Here is a 19,149-nt window from a genome sequence, read left to right as displayed (position 1 = left end):
CCCTCAGCCTCCCAAGTAGCTGGGATTACAGGGACCCGCCACGACACCTGGCTAATTTTTGTATTCTTTTAGTAGAGACAGGGTTTCTCCAAGCTGGCCAGGCTGGTCTTGAGCTCCTGACCTCAAGTGATCCACCCGCCTCGGCCTCCCAAAGTGCTGGGATTACAGGCATGATTCACTGTGCACGGCCAGGAATCATAACTCTTAATAAGCTCCACAAAGGCTGACATTTGGGTCTTTTACATGCACCATTGTTTTTCCTGAGCCTTGAGCAGTGCCTGGTACATGATAGGGATTCAAATACTCATGAATAAATGAATGAGCAAATGATGTTTTTGACATTGATGGATAATGAATGGTAATAGCTTAATAACAGAAGGAAGTAAAGATGATGGTCCCTCTCCCCTCTCCCCTGTCCCCTCTCCCCTCTCCCCACGGTCTCCCTCTCTTTCCACGGTCTCCCTCTCATGCGGAGCCGAAGCTGGACTGTACTGCTGCCATCTCAGTTCACTGCAACCTCTCTGCCTGATTCTCCTGCCTCAGCCTGCCGAGTGCCTGCGATTGCAGGCACGCGCCGCCACGCCTGACTGGTTTTGGTGGAGACGGGGTTTCGCTGTGTTGGCCGGGCTGGTCTCCAGCTCCTAGCTGCGAGTGATCCGCCAGCCTCGGCCTCCCGAGGTGCCGGGATTGCAGACGGAGTCTCGTTCACTCAGTGCTCAATGGTGCCCAGGCTGGAGTGCAGTGGCGTGATCTCGGCTCGCTACAACCTACACCTCCCAGCTGCCTGCCTTGGCCTCCCAAAATGCCGAGATTGCAGCCTCTGCCCAGCCGCCACCCCGTCTGGGAAGTGAGGAGTGTCTCTGCCTGGCCGCCCATCGTCTGGGATGTGAGGAGCCCCTCTGCCTGGCTGCCCAGTCTGGAAAGTGAGGAGCGTCTCCGCCCGGCCGCCATCCCATCTAGGAAGTGAGGAGCGCCTCTTCCCGGCCGCCATCACATCTAGGAAGTGAGGAGCGTCTCTGCCCGGCCGCCCATCGTCTGAGATGTGGGGAGCGCCTCTGCCCCGCCGTCCCATCTGGGATGTGAGGAGCGCCTCTGCCCAGCCGCGACCCCGTCTGGGAGGTGAGGAGCGTCTCTGCCAGGCCGCCCCGTCTGAGAAGTGAGGAGCCTCTCCGCCCGGCAGCCGCCCCGTCCGGGAGGGAGGTGGGGGGTCAGCCCCCCGCCCGGCCAGCCGCCCCGTCCGGGAGGTGAGGGGCGCCTCTGCCCGGCCGCCCCTACTGGGAAGTGAGGAGCCCCTCTGCCCGGCCACCACCCCGTCTGGGAGGTGTGCCCAACAGCTCATTGAGAAAGGGCCAGGATGACAATGGCGGCTTTGTGGAATAGAAAGGCGGGAAAGGTGGGGAAAAGATTGAGAAATCGGATGGTTGCCGTGTCTGTGCAGAAAGAAGTAGACATGGGAGACTTTTCATTTTGTTCTGTACTAAGAAAAATTCTTCTGCCTTGGGATCCTGTTGATCTGTGACCTTACCCCCAACCCTGTGCTCTCTGAAACATGTGCTGTGTCCACTCAGGGTTAAATGGATTAAGGGCGGTGCAAGATGTGCTTTGTTAAACAGGTGCTTGAAGGCAGCATGCTCGTTAAGAGTCATCACCACTCCCTAATCTCAAGTAATCAGGGACACAAACACTGCGGAAGGCCGCAGGGTCCTCTGCCTAGGAAAACCGGAGACCTTTGTTCACTTGTTTATCTGCTGACCTTCCCTCCACTATTGTCCCATGACCCTGCCAAATCCCCCTCTGTGAGAAACACCCAAGAATTATCAATAAAAAAATAAATTAAAAAAAAAAAGATGATGGTCAAAGATAACTGAACAATTTTTAGTTATGTAAGATAAATAAGTTCTGGAGATTTACTATACAGCATAGTGCCTATAGCTAACAATACTGTACTATATATTTAAAATTTGCTAAAAGGATAGATCTTAAAGGTTTTTTAACATGAAAATAATAATAATAATAATAAAATAGGGTGGAAGGAAACTTTGGAAGGTGATGTGTATGTCTGTGGCCTTAATGGTGGTGATGGTTACACAGGTGTATTCTTATCCCCAAACTCATCAAGGTGTGCACATTAAATATGAACAATCTTTTTCCTGCCATCGTACTTCAATAAAGTGTTTTTCTAAGGATTATACTTGTTATTACGTGAACACATGCAAGCACACAGAGTCTACTTAAATTTAACCATGTTTGTGACTTTCCAGTGGAAAAGATGCACAATTCTGCTCTTAGTGCGCAAATAACTAATGAGAATGCAAACAGTTTTATAGCCACAGACACAGGCAATAAGCTTAAAGTCTTAGTTGTTGAGGGCAAAAACTGCTTCACCCCCACTTCTTAAGGATTCTCCTGGTTAGAAAGGCTTAAAATACGCTCTGTACATAAAAGATTCTCAAAAAATATCCAGAGGATGAACATCATATATCCAGAGGATGAACATCATTTACCTGAAGTTATAATTTAATTCATTGCAAATCAACACATCTCGTGTAGCATTTTTTGCCTGTTGGAAATCAGCCCTGACATGGGAAGTGTGTGGGTGGGACTGCATCCCATTGATCTCTGTGTTCTGAGTGCACTGCACATGGCCTGGAACGTAATAGGGTGTGATCTTGTTGATTGAATGAATTAATCTGTCCTATGAAGAAGAGTTGAAGAAGCTGAGTATGATTAACCTGCAGAAAGATAAGTCTTTGGAGAGAAGAGGAGATTGCTGTCTTTGGGGATTTGAGGGCCTAACCTGTGGCAGACAAAGAGCAGAGTGAGGACGCTATGTGGACACTTCCAGTAGGCAGATTTTTATTCATTACATATCAGCCGAGGAACAGATTGATCTTAAAACGAAAACCCAGAAGAGAAAAAAGTTGCATTCCTTTTCTGGGTTATTTTTTGCAAGGCATTTTTATGGGGCACCTCGCTTCCCCGTCTTATTCATTCCCTTGTTTTCTTCCAAGGTTTACCTTATGAGTTCCCTGACTCAGCAGAAAAGCTCCAGCTCTCTATCAGCAGATCTGCTTCCTGAGGAATGATGATCCTCTCTGGGTCATTACATACACTACATTTCAAGGCTTAGAATTCCATGGCTACCATCAGTTAAGAGTACTGTATAGCTCTACCTTTGTCTATAAAAATGAGACCTAAGACATGGTAAGACATAAATCAATTTCAGGGCCACCTAAACCTCCACAGCATTGCTCCTAATGAGTGTTGCTAAGGACTCCCCACAAATCAACGTGAAAAATTAGTCTCTACAAACAGTGATGTATCTGTTGCCCTTGGTATTAATTTGGACATTACCTTGCTATTAATATGAGTTTATCTTGAATTAAAAATATTAGTTTTACCTTGACTTTTGTTTGGATGACAAAAATCTCAACTATTGGGCTTTTACATACTAATCTTTTCTACTTTAAATTCAGACCTCATCTTCTATTTAGAAAATGCAGGTAATCGAAGAGAAGTGCTATGACTTAGAAAGAGGCCAGGAACAGGAATAGAAAGCGTTCTCAACTTGTCAGCTCCTGAAGCTTCATGCAATCTTAGGTAAATTGTCCAATTTCTTAGCATCTCATGGTTCTACCCATAAAATAATGTTAACAAGAGAAATTTGCTACATTCTTTCTGCTGGAGGATGAAGGTATGCTTAAAAATTGTTGGCATACATTATTAAATTGTCCTTGGAAATAGTGTAAAAATGACTAGATTTAAGTCATTTTGTCAAAATATTTTAAAAATATATATATTCATTCATACTTCTTTCTTATGAACAGGGCCATATGGGACCTGGCTTGGGGGCACGCTCCGGGTGAGCTTTACAGGTGGAATTATGGTGACGATGTAGGAGTCCCCAAGGAGAGCTTGTCCAAAGAGCGAGAGGGCCAGAAGGGGAATGTAGTCAGTTTGAGGGATGGCCCCCAAAATGCCTGAAAATCAACCTCAGCAACCCATCAGTTTAACAGTGCCTCACTACACGTGGTGTGATAGAAAGGTCAGTGTTAGGAAGCTTGGGTTAGTTCCAACTCAGCTACGAACTGACAATAACTCTGAGCAAGTCATTTAACCTCTCTGTGCTACAGTTTCTTCATCTGTAAGTTGAGGTATTTCAGCTAGTTTGACACTTTCCAATACAGTGGCCGCCAGCCACATATGGCTATTGATCACCTGAAATGTGTGTGGCTAGTGCGGCTGGGGAGAAACTGAATTTTAAATTGTATTTAACTTTAATGAATTCAAATTCTTATTTATTTATTTATTTACTTATTTACTTACTTAGAGGCAGGGTATCCCTTGTCACCCAGGCTGGAGTGCAGTGGCATGATCTCAGCTCACTGCAGCCTTGACTTCCTAGGCTCAGGTGATTCTCTCTGCTTAGCCTCCTGAGTACCCAGGACTGTAGGTGTGCACCACCACAGCTGGCTACTTCTTCGTACTGTTTTGTAGAGATGAGGTTTTGTCATGTTGCCCAAGCTGGTCTCAAACTTCTGGGCCCAAGCGATCCACCTGCCTTGGCCTCCCAAAATGCTGGGATTACAGGTGTAAGCTGCCGCACTGTCAAATTTAAATTTAAAAATGGGAACGGCATAAAACATTTCTCTTTTAAACAAAACGTAGTAACTTTGACAGCACTACATTTTACTTTAGCCGTTGAAAATTTAGTATCCTTACTGAGATGGGTTAGAAGTGTAAAATCGTCTTTAAAGAACAGTGTGAAAGACACTATAAACTATCTCATTAATACATTTTTGTATTGACTCTATGTTTATGTGATAATATTTTAGATATGTTGGATTAAATAAAATAATACTATTACAATTAATTTCACCTGTTTCTTTTTAATGTTTTAAAAATGTGGCTACTGGAAAAATTTAAATTATTTATATGGTCCACATTGTATCCATATTGGATAGTGATAGACTAGGCGATCTCAATTGCATCTTCCAACAATAAAGCCTATTGTTCTAGGTAGCTAATGGGAAGCTTCAGCTCCGGGTGGCTTTGAGCATGGACTTTCAAAGTAGAGAGTATAAATTATATCCCCCCTTGCCAGCTATGTGATTTTGCGCAAACTTCTTGACCTCACTGGGCCTCAGTTTTCTCATCTGAGGAGTAGAAACACATCTTCTTCATAAGGTTGTTGTAAGGATTAAATGAAATAGCATGTGTAAGGCACCAATCAAAGTGCCTGTGACCATGTTGAAATAAGTTCTCCCCCAACTTTCTCATTTCTCTGATTGAGAAATACCCATGAGGACCAAAAGAGGAAACAAAGGTAGGAGGGTTTTAGGAAGCACGAGTTCCTGTGTGGTGGTGGGAGCCTGTAATCCCAGCTACTTGGGAGGCTGAGGCAGGAGAATTGCTTGAACCTGGGAGGCAGAGGTTGCAGTGAGCGGAGATTGCACCATTGCACTCCAGCCTGGGCAACAAAAGCGAAACTCCGTCTAAAAAAAAAAAAAAAAAAAAGAGCCAGAGTGTAAAGAGGTTTACGAGGTCAAAGGAAATGCATGGCTTTGTCGACATGGATCAGCCATGTTCAGATTTGATCCTTGACTTAATCCAGATGCCCACTTTCTAATCCTGCAGCTCATGTCTCTTCCTCCCTTTACTATTCCCTTTTTGCGCTGACAGTCTTTCTGTTAGTTATATTCTAGGCCTTTATAGCTTGCTGGTCTCAAGATGTAGAATTGCTGAAAGATGTAATTCAGACTGTTTGGGAAAGAAGACAAGTTCCTCCCTCCTTCCTGGGTTTCACTGTGAACCACGGAGGTTTCTACGATACATGGTTCTAACCACTGAAAATTTACTGTCCTTACTGAGATATTTTAGAAGTGTAAAATACAGACTGTATTTCAAAGACAGCATGAAAAAGCCAGCTTTTGTAGCAGGCACCAAGCTTGTTTTACTTTATACAGGCTCCCTAATTCCTCTCTGCCACTTCAACCTTCAACTGATATCCCTGGCAGAAGGATGAAAAATCAAAAGGGCAAGAGATAGAACATTTGTTTCAGGTATTGGGACAACTCCAAGTATTAAGATAACAGATTCATTTCATGCTGTTTCATTTAATCAATGTTTATTCATGGCAAATTTTATTTTTTATTATTTTTATTTTTTATTTTAATTTAAGTGGGTACATAGTAGTTTTATGTATTTATGGGTTACGTGAGATATTTTGATACAGGCATGCAATAATCACATCAGGGTAAATGGGGTGTCCATCATCTCAAGTATTTATCCTTGTGTCACAAACAATCCAATTATACTCTTAGTTGTTTAAAAATGCGGGGAGTGGAGGGCAAGTGGAGGGAGAGCATTAGGACAAATACCTAATGCATGCGGGGCTTAAAACCTATGTGATGGGTTGACAGGTGCAGCAAACCACCATGGCACATGTATACCTATGTAACAAACCTGCACGTTCTGCACATGTATCCCGTAATGTAAAGTAAAATAAAATAGCATAAAATCAAATAAAGGAATCACTAATGAAACCTACATTTGCAAAATAAATTATAAATATTGAAAAGAAATAAAAAGTACAAAAAATTATTTTTGTCTATAGTCACTCTATTGTGCTATCAAATACTAGTCTTATTCATTCTTTTTGTTTTTTGTACCCACTAACCATCCCACTCCCCGCCCTACACCCCCCAACAACCCGCCCCATACTCTTCCAAGCCTCTGGTAACCGTCCTTCTACTATCTCCATGAGTCGAATTGTTTTAATTTTTAACTTCCACAAATAAGTGAGAATATGTGAAGTTTGTCTTTCTGTACCTGGCTTAAATTTCACTTAACATAATGACCTCCAGTTCCATCCATGTTATTGCAAATGACTGGACCTCATTTTCTTAATGGCTGAATAGTACTCCATTGTGTATATGTACCACATTAAAAAAAATCAATTTGTTAGTTGATGGATTGCTTTCAAATCTTGGCTATTGCGAATAGTGCTGCAATAGCTAAGATTTGGATATCTTTGGGAGTGTAGATATCTTTGGGATATCTTTTAATCTTTTCTTTTCTTTTTGAGACAGAGTCTCGCTCTGTTGCCCAGGCTGGAGTGTAGTGGCGCAATCTTGGCTCACTGCAACCTCTGCCTCCCGGGTTCAAACAATTCTCCTGCTTCAGCCTCCTGAGTAGCTTGGATTACAGGCACTCACCACCATGCCCAGATAATTTTTGTATTTTTAGTAGAGACGGGGTTTCACCATGTTGGCCAGGCTGGTCTCAAACTCCTGACCTCAGATGATCCACCCATCTCGGCCTCCCAAAGTGCTGGGATTACAGGCGTGAGCCACCTCGCCCAGCCTGATTTTTTTTCTTTTGAGTATATACCTACCTCTATTTTCAGTTTTTTGAGGCACCTCCAAACTGTTCTCCATAGTGATTGTACTAATTTACATTCCCACTAACAGTGTACAAGGGTTCCCTTTTCTCCCTATTCTTGCTAGCATTTGTTATTGCTTGACTTTTGGATAAAAGCCATTTTAACTGGGGTGAGATGATATGTCATTGTAGTTTTGATTTGCATTTCTCTGATGATCAATGACAATGCCTTTTTGTATGCTTGTTTCCCACTTGTATGTCTTCCTTTGAGAAATGTCTATGCAGATCTTTTGCCCATTTAAAAAACTGGATTATTATATTTTTTCCTATAGAGTTGTTTGAGCTCCTTTTATATTCTGATTATTAACCCCTTGTCAGATGGGTAGTTTGCAATTATTTTCTACCACTCTGTGGTTTGTCTCTTCACTTTGTTGATTCTTTCTTTTGCTATGCAGAAAGTTTTTAATTTGATATGATCCTATGTGTTCACATTTGCTTTGGTTGCCTGTGCTTATGAGGTTTTACTCAAGGAATCTTTGCCTACTCTGGGACTTACTGTTTTCTTTTACTAGTTTCATAGTTCGAGGTCTTAAATTTCAGTCTTTAATCCATTTTGATTTGATTTTTGTATAAGGCTAGAGATAACAGGTCTAGTTTCACTCTTTTGCATATGGATATCCAGTTTTCCCAGCATCATTTATTGAAGAGACTGTCGTTTCCCCAATTTATGCTCTTGGTAACTTTGTCAAAAATGAATTCACTGCAGATGTATGCATTTACCTCTGGGTTCTCTATTCTGTTCCACTGATGTATGTGTCTGTTTTTATGCCAGTACCTTGCTGTTTTGGTTACTGTAGTTTTATAGTATAAGTTTAAGTCAGATAAAGTGATTTCTCCCATTTTGTTCTTTTTGCTCAGGGTAGCTTTGGCTCTTCTGGGTCTTTCGTGGTTCCAAATGAATTTTAGAAATTTTTTTCTATTTCTGTGAAGAATGTCATTGGTATTTTGATAGGCATTGCATTAAATCTGTAGATCGCTTTGAGTAATATGGACATTTTAACATTATTGATATTTCCAATCCATGAACATGTAATGTCTTTCCTTTTTTGTGGCTTCTTCAATTTCTTGCATTAATGTTTTATAGTTTTCATTTTAGATATCATTCACTTCGTTAGTTAATTCCTAGGTATTTAATTTTATTTGTAGCTATTGTAAATGGGATCTTTTAAAATTTCTTTTTCAGATTGTTCACTGTTAGCATATAGAAATGCTACTGATGTTTGTATGTTGAATTTGTATCCTGCAACTTTACTGAGTTTGTTTATCAGTTCTTATAGTTTTCTTGATGGTATCTTTAGTATTTCCCAAATATAAGATCATATCTGAAAACTAGAATAATTTGACTTCTTCCTATCCAATTTGGATGCCCTTTATTTCTTTCTCTTGTATGATTGCTCAAGCTAGGACTTTCAGTATTATGTTGAATAACAGTGGTGTAAGTGGGCATCCTTGTTGTTTTCCAGATCTTAGAGAAAAGGCTTTCAATTTTTCCCCATTCAGTATGATACTAACTCTGGATCTGTTGTATATGCTTTTTATTATGTTGAGGTATGTTCCTTCTGTAACCAGTTTTGTGAGGTTTTTGTTATGAAGGGCTGTTGAATTTTATCAAGTGCTTTTTCAGCATCAATTGAAATGATCATATAGTTTTGTCTTTCATTCTGTTGATATGATGTATTACATTAATTGATTTGCATATGTTGAACTATCTTTGCATCCCTAGGCTAAATCTCACTTCGTCATAATGAATGATGAGTGATTGAGTTAGTGAATATTGATGAGTTATCGAATATTGAGTTTGATTTGGTAGTATTTGAGAATTTTTGCATCAATATTCATCAGAAATATTGGTGTATAGTTTTATTTTTTTGATGTGTCTTTGTCTAGTTTTAGTATCAAGATAATACTGGCCTCATAGAATGAGTTTGGAAGTATTCCCTCCTTTCTTTGTGTTTTTGAATAGTTTGAGTAGGATTGGTATAGTTTTTTTTTATTTATTTGTTTATTTGTTTGAGACACGGTGTCACTCTGTCACCCAGGCTGGAGTACAGTGGTGTGATCTTGGCTTACCATAGCCTCTGCCTCGCCTCCCAGGCTCAAGCGATTCTCTAATAATATTTGCTTTATATATCTGGGTGCTCCAGTGTTTGGTGCATATATATTTATCAAATTGTTATATCCTCTTGCTGAATTGACCCCTTTATCATTATATAGTGACCTTCTTGTTCTCTTCTTATAGTTTTTGTCTTGAAATCTATTTGTCTGATTTATCCAATTTATTTATCTGACTCCTGCTCTTTTTTTGGTTTCCATTTGCATGGAATATTTTTTTCCATCCCTTATTTTCAGTTTACTGTGTATTCTTGGACAAGTTACTTTCTGAGCCTCAATTTCCTCATCTGATAGTTGGTGTCTGTTAGGATCTATCTTACAGGACTGTTTTAAGGATTAAATGAGACAATGCACAGTGCCTGGGGCATGATGAGATATGGTAATTAGGAAATAATTACTCAGGCCAGGCACGGTGGCTCATGCCTATAATTCCAACATTTTGGGAGGCTATGGTGGGAGGATCGCTTAACACCAGCCTGGGCAATATAGTCACACCCAGTCTCTCCAAAGAAAGAAAGAAAGAAAGAAAAAAATTAGCCCACTATTGTGGTCACATGACTGTAGTCCCAGCTACTCAGGAGGCTGAGATGGGAGGATCACTTGAGCCTGGAAGGTTGAGGGTGCAGTGAGCCATGATTGTGCTACTGCGCTCCAGCTTGGGCAACAACATGAGAACTTATTTCAAAATAGCTAACAAATGGTAGTTATTATTGTTACATTTATTTATTTAGAATTATTATTCAATTATTATTATGTAATAATCAACAAAAATTATCCTTTTTTGTAGCATCTTTTTATCTCTTCTCTGATTTCTTTTTTGAAACAAATTTAAAAACATATTATAATATTAAAAAACGGAGACCAGGTCTCCCTGTGTTACCCAGGCTGTCCTCAAACTCCTGGGCTCGAGCAATCCTTCCGCCACAGCTTTCCAAAGTGCTGCGGTTACAGGCGTGAGCCACTGTGCCTGGCCTTGCATTATTTCTGTTAGGGTTATTTGTTTATTTGTTATCTGTGTAATTTATTTACTTTGATGTTTAAAGCAAAGAATTACAACTCAGTGAAGGAGATATCCTCACATGTAACTTGCAACTCTAAATATGACCTTATCTAAGAGGGTATTAGTTTCAATTATGCTGCCCCTATGGGTCATTGAAGTGAGACTCTTCTGTGTGTCCCATAAGAGTGCACTAAGGCAACTGAAGTCATTTGATGTCCTCAGCCCCCTTGGCAAGCACAGAGGTGCTCAAAAGACTGATGAACTTGGCACTAAGATTTTTCTTCCAGAAGACAGGGAGAAATCACCAAATGGTTTTTTTTTTAAAGCAAACTAAATATTTAGCCACCTTTTGGGTTCACTTTTTTTTTTCTTTTTCTTTTTTACTAGTCATTGACTTGAAGCTCATGGTTTTACTCTTTAACACCAGCCAGTCAACTGCAGGTTCCTGGGACAAAAAGCAAAAGGAATAATGATCCCTTGTGGATTCCTGAGTCACCTGCTTTGTGGGCTGTGCAGCGTCTGTGGTCAGCACCACACCGGCTACCTCACTATTGCTCAGGGTTTGTGCTTTGGGAGCTAGCCTGGAAGCTAAGAACTCTCACTTTCACCTGGTATTAACTACTTTGTTTCTTTTTTTTTTTTTTTTTTGAGACGGAGTCTCGCTCTTGTCACCCAGGCTGGAGTGCAGTGGCACGATCTCAGCTCACTGCAACCTCTGCCTCCTGGGTTCAAGCGATTCTCCTGCCTCAGCCTCCCGAGTAGCTGGGATTAAAGGCTCCTGCCACCACCCCGAGCTAATTTTTTTTATTTTTAGTAGAGATGGAGTTTCATCATGTTGGGCAGGCTGGCCTCGAACTTCTGACCTCCGGTGATCCTCCCACCTTGGCCTCCTGAAGTGCTGGGATTACAGGCGTGAGCCACATTGCCCAGCCTGGTATTAACTACTTTCTAAAGGCGCTTCCTGTTGCACAAGAATGCTGTTTGCAGGAATGCCTGTAGACACATGAACCCTGGGCCTGCTGCTCCCTTAATTTGAGGGAAGCTATGGATGTCAAGCAGAATAGAGCTATTTTGTTACTTGACCAGGTTTCCATAACTTTTTGCACATACCTTTATTCCTGCACCTGTCCCACATAATTATCCCTTTATAGCTCTTTCACCAGCAGGAATATAAATGTCATGGCAGGGCCACCATGTTGCAAACTCCCAGGGTCCATCCTGCAGTTACTAGCTTGTGTGAATGGTACTTCTTGGAGGTACCATTGCAATGCACAGCCTGAGCAGCCCTCTGCAGTAAGTCCAACTGTGGATGGGGCAAAATGAGTGGTTAGCAGAATTGGCCTCATACATCTTTTATTCTGGCATTGAGTATGTGGTAGGCACTCAAGAAATATTTTTAAATGAATGACATTGGTCTTCCCATTTATTTTGAGTTAATTTGACCCAGCTTAATCAGTGGATCTTTTCAACTAGTTAATTGTCCTACCCTTCCACCCAGGAAGGTGTTTCAGTTTTAATAGATTTTTGTTATTGGTGTTTTTTTGCACATTCAGCAAAACCTCTGGAAAGAGGAGTTCATATCAGCCCCTCATGCAGAGGGAGCTGTGAGTATTCAGGCTGCTTGGTGCTGCTGCGGTCTTTCCAGCAGAGGTGGCTGGTCCTAGAGTGGTGGTTTGGTCCATTCTTGACCTATGATGATGCTGGGAAATAACTCAGTGATGTGGTGTCATTTTTTTATCTCACAGATGTGGCTCTGGAGAAGAGATTTAAGTTTATATCTTCAGAACATAGCATCAATGAGTTTGGGTCATAGCTGCAGCCAACTCAGCCAGAAACAGATACACAGTATGCAACCAAGTGGGAATAAATTCAACCCATTTTCCTAATTTGGAATATAGAGCCTGAGGGGTGAAGTTGTGGGTGGATTATCTGTCCTGGGTTCTTCCTATTTCCTGAATTTATACTTTAGTGAAGGGAAATTTTGCTAACTGTTAATGTGCCAGAATGGGAAAGCCCCCTACCTAGGCCCTCACCTCTGAATTTTTCCAGTTCAAGTGGACAAGTAGTTTTTGAGCACTCACTATGTGTCAGGCTCAGGGTGACCTTTGCGATTTCCACTTCCTTCTGATCTTTTCACCTAAGCCTGTGGGACTTGTGTTCTGGGAGAAAATTAGAAGTTACATCATCCTTATGGTTCTGAAAAAATTGAGCTCCCCAGACTTGGGTTCGCCTGATCTGCTTCTCAAATGTTAAAGAGGAACATAAAGCCATGTAGAAAATCCTTTTCTTTTGACAAAGCCTGGCTTTCAAATTCTACTGTTGCTGCAGTCACCAAAATTATACATTTGAATGTCAGAGATTGAATGTTGACATCCTTATTGCAAAAATCCTATCCCCACTTCTGGCTTAGCTGCCCCAGAGAGCTCTGTGTCTCGGGCTGACTAGAGAAAAGACCACACAGTTAGAGATGCAAAAAAGGAAATGCCATTAACATATTTCAGGGTGAATATTTCTTTGCATTTGGCACTTTGCAATCTAGTCCAGGCTTAAGATTTGTAGGATTTCTTTTGCTGTTTCCCTTTTTTTACTTGTCAGGGAAACAAGGCATAAATATTTCAGCTTGGACGAATCAGATGGGGTAACCCATGAAGTTGTTGATTGTTTTTGCCCACCTGGCTGCAAAGCGAGGCAAGTAATCATTTGCTCTGGAAGTAGTCGTGGTGTAGCATGTCCTTACAGAGAGAACTGATTCCTTGCTGCCAGAATGTTAATGGGAATGTGGTCACTTAACTTTGCCAATATTGATAGTTTGCTTCAATTTATGATTGATTGATAATTATAATTCATTATGATTAACAGTTCATATTCAGTTAGAAGGTAGGCTTTAATTCATGATTAATAGCTGGCACATAGAGCAAATTTGATTTTCTAGCCTATTTGCCCTTTCCTAGATCATTTAAAGTGGGTAAGTTGATGGGTACTTCACTCATGACCATCTTTATGAGTATGCGAATGGGTCAGTTTTTCTGCAAAAGAAGGCAGAAAATAAGAATAATTACTTTCGTATTTTGGTGAAACTTCTTTCTTTTACCTAGATGGCAGAAATTCACTCTTTCAGAGACAAATGAAAGAAACCCAAGTCAGTCTGGCTTCAGCAGAAAGTGAATTTACTGACTCATGTAACAGGGAAGTGTATCCAGGAGTGGACTGGCTTCAGGCACAGCTGGATCTAGAAGTTCAAACATTCTCATTTGGGCAACTTTTCTCTCTCTACCTTTTTCCCTCTCCTTGTCTGTCCTACAGACAAGTTCCCTCTATGTGGTAGGTAAGATGGGTGACAATATCTCTGAATAAAATTCTCTAGCTGAACAGCCCTGGTGAAAATAGAAGTTTTGTCTTCCAGCATCCTTACACTACTCTCAGAGAAAACTCATTTGCTCCGCTTGGATCGTGTGTTCATTCTGGAAGTAGTCCCTCACTGGGAACATGGTATATGTGAACTGGATGATCTGGGTGAAATACTCATCCCTGTGGGAGGGTGGCCGGATACCACAATTGAGAGATCCCTAAGGACACATGTGGGCAAGGAGTAGTTTCTCCAAAGGAATCAGAAGAAAAGGGGTGGGAAGCGGGATGAGCAGACAAAAGTTGTAGTTACCACAGTCTTGCAAATGGTCTTTCAAAATATCTGCCTTCCTCTCATTCTACCAGATATTGCCTTTTCTTCTGGAACTGTCTGGGTCTTTCCAGCTTCAGGAAGCTTATTTCTGTCCTGTCTCTCCTTCACTGTCTTCTGGCACTCATGGGCCATGCCACCAATTAAAATAATACATGCTGCTCTGTATTCTTTTGAATTAATAAAAAAAATTTTATTTTATTTTATTTTGAGACGGGGTTTTGCTCTTGTTGCCCAGGCAATGGCGTGATCTCAGCTCACTGCAACCTCCACCTCCTGGGTTCAAGCGATTCTCCTGCCTCAGCCTCCCGAGTAGCTGGGATTACAGGCATGCGCTATCACACCCGGCTAATTTTGTATTTTTAGTAGAGACGAGGTTTTACCATGTTGGCCAGGCTGGTCTCCAACTCCTGACCTCAAGTGATCTACCCACCTCGGCCTCCCAAAGTGCTGGGATTACAGGCATGGGCCACCTCGCTCGGCCGAATAAAAATATTTTAAATTTTATAAATGATTTGATGATGCAGCCGACTACAAAAATGACAAAGTTAATAAAAATAAAATGATATTGTATAAAAGGAGGCATTGCCCACTACCCTGCATAGAGTGGGTATTTAATAATATTTATGATTTGACTTAATGTTTATGAAAGATAGTCAGCGACTGTGGGGCATGGATCTTGTACTCTCTGAATGACCTAGTGGGCCTGGAGCAGTGGCCAGTCTGCGAGGCTTATGTGCTGAATGTGTCGAGGATAATCCAGAGGCCTGCTGCCTGTGTACTCTCTGGTCTGGCAAAAACTTTTCTGATGCTCATACAATGTAGTTCCAATTAGAATTTACTGAAACTGCATGTGGTGGGGATACAAATAAGAAAATCTCCATGTTTCTAGCCTTTTACCAACCAATGCTATCTAAGGAAGATCCCGTCTTTGCAGTGCTAAGCCTAGCACACCTTATCGTGCTGACTGGTTTAACAGATAAACATAAGGTTTGGAAGAAGCAGGGGATTTAAACAGAATTACACAAGAAAAGGCATTGGTCAACTGGAGAGGAGCCATTCAGAGATGGAAGGCTGAACTATTTTGTCGAGGTCAGTAGGGAAGAGAGAGAAGAGAAATTGGGAGTACCAAGGGTACTTACTATGTGAGATTGCAGGGAAACAAATATAATAAGAATTTTTAGGGCACATGCTTCAGATTACATACTGTAATGTCCTCCCTCACCTCACTCCAGCTCTGCTGGTATTTCAGCTGAATCAATTAGAACCCATTTGTTAAAAGTCACCAAAAAGACGTCTTTATAGCAAAAAAAAAAAAAAAAAAAAAAAAAAACAAACCAAAAACAAAACAAAACAAAACAAAAAAAAACCAAAAAACCCCGGAATTTCTAGCTCCCGTAAATAAAATAGTATCAAGTAGTTTGATTAGCCTGATTTAGGTACAGTTTCATCTAGGATCTCAAGCAATATGGTCAGAATTTCATTTCTGTTCAGCTTTTGAATCTACCTTCTATCATGTTGGTTTCATTCTTTGCTACCATGAGAAGGTCCCAGGTATTCAGAGCTTTAATCTCAGTTTCTAGTCCTGTGGAAAAAGAAAGCTTGTCTCTCTTCCAACAACCCCAAAAAACGTTCCTTAATGGCTCATTGGCTCTATATTCATTCACATGCCCCGCCTTGAATCACAAATGAGGGTAAGGGGATGTGCTGCTCTGATAGGCTACGCCTGAGTCATATGCTTCATCCTGGAGATAGAGATGTAGGACAAGAATGGAGAGGGAAGGAAGGAAGGCTGGTGTCAGAAGAAAGCTGGCAAGGATAGGAGGGAAAGTATAAGAAGGCCAGTTAGAACATATTGAGAGCCTCTAATAAAAGTTTGAGTTTATTGTTTCAGCCTTTTTTTTTTTTTTTTTTTAAAGACAAAGTCTCACTCTGTTGCCCAGGCTGGAGTGCAGTGGCGTGGTCTCGGCTCACTGCAATCTCCACCTCCCAGGTTCAAGCGATTCTCCTGCCTCAGCCTCCCGAGTAGCTGGGATTACAGGTGCACAACACCACGCCTAGCTAATTTTTGTACTTTTAGTAGAGAAGGAGATTGGCCAGGCTGATCTGGAACTCCTGGCCTCAAGGGATGCATCTGCCTCAGCCTCCCAAAGTGCAATGTGCTACCATGCCTGGTCCTGATAGTTTCTTTTGCTGTGCAGAAGCTCTTTAGTGCAATGGTGTGATTTCGGTTCACTGTAACCTCCATCTCCCGGGTTCAAGTGATTCTCCTGCCTCAGCCTCCTGAGTAGCTGGGATTACAGGCACCCACCAGGACACACAGTTAATTTTTGTGTTTTTAGTAGAGATGGGGGTTTCACCATGTTGGTCAGGCTGGTCTCGAACTCCTGACCTCAGGTGATCTACCTGCCTTAGCCTCCTAAAGTGCTGGGATTACAGGCGTGAGCCACCGTGCCCGGCCAATACTGGCCTATTAAATAACTTTAAGTCTCTTGGAGAATAGTCTGTATTTTTTACAAGGTCCAGATATATGAAAAACTGGTAATACCGTTGTCTCTGTGGAGGGTTATTGGGTAGCTGAGCAACAGGGATGGGAGGAGGACTCTTCACTGTAAAGTGGTGAACCATGGTTAAATATTACCTATTTAAAATAAACGTGTAAATTTAAGAGTCTCCATAGATGATCTAGATACAGCCAAGATTGAGAACCACAGGTATAGTTAATTAGTGAATTAAAAACAAAATAATGTGAAACAAGTAATTAAAATTTTCTATTAAAGATAATAGGTGCTAGAATAGATTTGATGCTTGAGGGGTTAATAACCTTAAAGAAAGCAACTTTCCAGTGATGAGATGGAGAAGTTAGATCACAATGGTTAAGGAGTCAGGAAAGGGGGTGAGCAGAGGCCAAAGACTGTAAGCTGTCTGTTGATTGGCAGCTGCAAGGCAGGCTGTCTAAACCCTGACGACTCCACTCATGAGCTGTGGGACTTGGGAAAGTTTCTCAGTCCCCCAGATTCCTCATTGTAACATAGTATAATATTATATGCCCTGTGATTCTTCAAGGATCTAGAACCAGAAATACCATTTGACCAAGCAATCTCATTACTGGTTATATACCCAAAGGATTATAAATCACTCCACTATAAAGACACATGTGTACATATATTTATTGCAGCACTATTTACAATAGCAAAGACATGGAACCAACCCAAATGCCCATCAATGATAGACTGGATAAAAAAATGTGGCACATATACACCATGGAATACTATGCAGCCATAAAAAAGAATGAGATCATGTCCTTTGCAGGGACATGGATGAAGCTGGAAGCCATCATCCTCAGCAAACTAACACAGGAACAGAAAACCAAATACCGCATGTTCTCACTTATAAGTGGGAGTTGAACAATGAGAACACATGGACACAGAGAGTGGAACAACACACACCAGGGCCTGTTGCGGGGTGGGGGATGAGGGGTGAGGGGTGGGAACTTAGAGGATGGGTCAGTAGGTGCAGCAAACCACCATGGCACACGTATACCTATGTAACAAACCTGCATGTTCTGTACATGTATCCTGTTTGTTTTTTTTTTTTTAGAAGAAATAAAAAACATATAGTACTAGAAAAATCTTTCTCTCTCTCTCTCTGTCAATGATCTTTCCTAAAAATGGTACAGGATGGTGGGGTGATGAGGAAGAAAAGGACAGCTTACATATTCTTATATATAAACTTAGACATATAGAGAAGGCTGGATGTTTTCAAGGCAGGAATTGTTTGCGTTTCTCTGCACAAGCATGTTGAAACCTCCCCCAAATGAACCAACTGAGATGGGAGTATAGATCCACTTGAGTAGACATGTCCCATTTGGGTCAGGAAAGGAATACAATATGTTCAGTCAAGCTTAGAAAAAAAATCCTAAACCATAATTGTCCGCTTTCTTAGCAAGGAGAACAGTAGTGTTCAATTCCTTTAGCCCCAATGCCCCAATGCACCCTCCCTGCCAACTTTTTTTTTTTTTTAATGGGGTCTCGCTCTGTCACCCAGGCTGGAGTGCAGTGGCGTGATCTCGGCTCACTGCAAGCTCCGCCTCCCGGGTTCACCCCATTCTTCTGCCTCAGCCTCCTGAGTAGCTGGGACTACAGGCGCCTGCCACCATGCCCAGCTAATTTTTTGTATTTTTAGTAGAGATGGAGTTTCACCGTGTTAGCCAGGATGGTCTCCATCTCCTGACCTCGTGATCTGCCTGCCTGGGCCTCCCAAAGTGCTGGGATTACAGGTGTGAGCCACTGCGCCCAGCCCCCAATGCCCCTTTTAAAGCAAACACTTTACTATTCTGAAATCAAGTGCATAGATAGTATAGCTTACCTGCATGCATTAAAAAATAATATAATGGCCTAACTATGGGATACAGGAGAAATTAAAGTTAAGTAGTTTATTATTATTATTTTATTTTATTTTTGAGATGGAGTCTCACTCTGTCACCCAGGCTGGAGTGAAATGGTGTGATCTCAGCTCACTGCAACCTCCACTTCTTGTGTTCAAGCGATTCTTCTGCCTCAGCCTCCCAAGTAGCTGGGGTTACAGCATGCGCCATGATGCCTGGCTAATTTTTTGTGTATTTTTAGTAGAGATGGGGTTTTGCCATGTTAGCCAGGCTGGTCTTGAACTCCTGACCTCAAGTGATCTGCCCACTTTGGCCTCCCAAGATGCTGGGATTACAGGTGTGAGTCACCACGCCCAGCCAGTAATTTCTCATTAAATATTTAATTCTTCATGTGAATCCTTGAGCATGGCTACATCAGTAATAGAATGAAGTGGTCAGCTGCTGACATGTATATGGACAGTGTGGATGTGACAGCTGGGAACAGGTTGTATTGGGTGTGTTATTGCCTTGGAAACTCAAGTACCATGAACA

General features: G+C 41.6%; 2 annotated features.

Annotated features, from left to right (window-relative positions):
- Window positions 436-1,178: an enhancer, noted in NCBI's record as "H3K27ac-H3K4me1 hESC enhancer chr3:179008749-179009491 (GRCh37/hg19 assembly coordinates)". NCBI's record gives its function as "activates a minimal SCP1, AML or CMV promoter by ChIP-STARR-seq in primed H9 embryonic stem cells {active_cell/tissue: H9 hESC(primed)}" and the evidence as "EXISTENCE:reporter gene assay evidence [ECO:0000049][PMID:30033119]".
- Window positions 2,544-2,838: a silencer, noted in NCBI's record as "tiled region #12572; HepG2 Repressive non-DNase unmatched - State 23:Low". NCBI's record gives its function as "represses a minimal TATA promoter and a strong SV40 promoter by Sharpr-MPRA in HepG2 cells {active_cell/tissue: HepG2}" and the evidence as "EXISTENCE:reporter gene assay evidence [ECO:0000049][PMID:27701403]".

The sequence above is a fragment of the Homo sapiens genome, chromosome 3 (assembly GCF_000001405.40).
Source record: "Homo sapiens chromosome 3, GRCh38.p14 Primary Assembly".
Lineage (NCBI taxonomy): Eukaryota > Metazoa > Chordata > Mammalia > Primates > Hominidae > Homo > Homo sapiens.
Note: the sequence above shows the minus strand (reverse complement) of the source record. Positions and strands in the feature narration are given on the sequence as shown.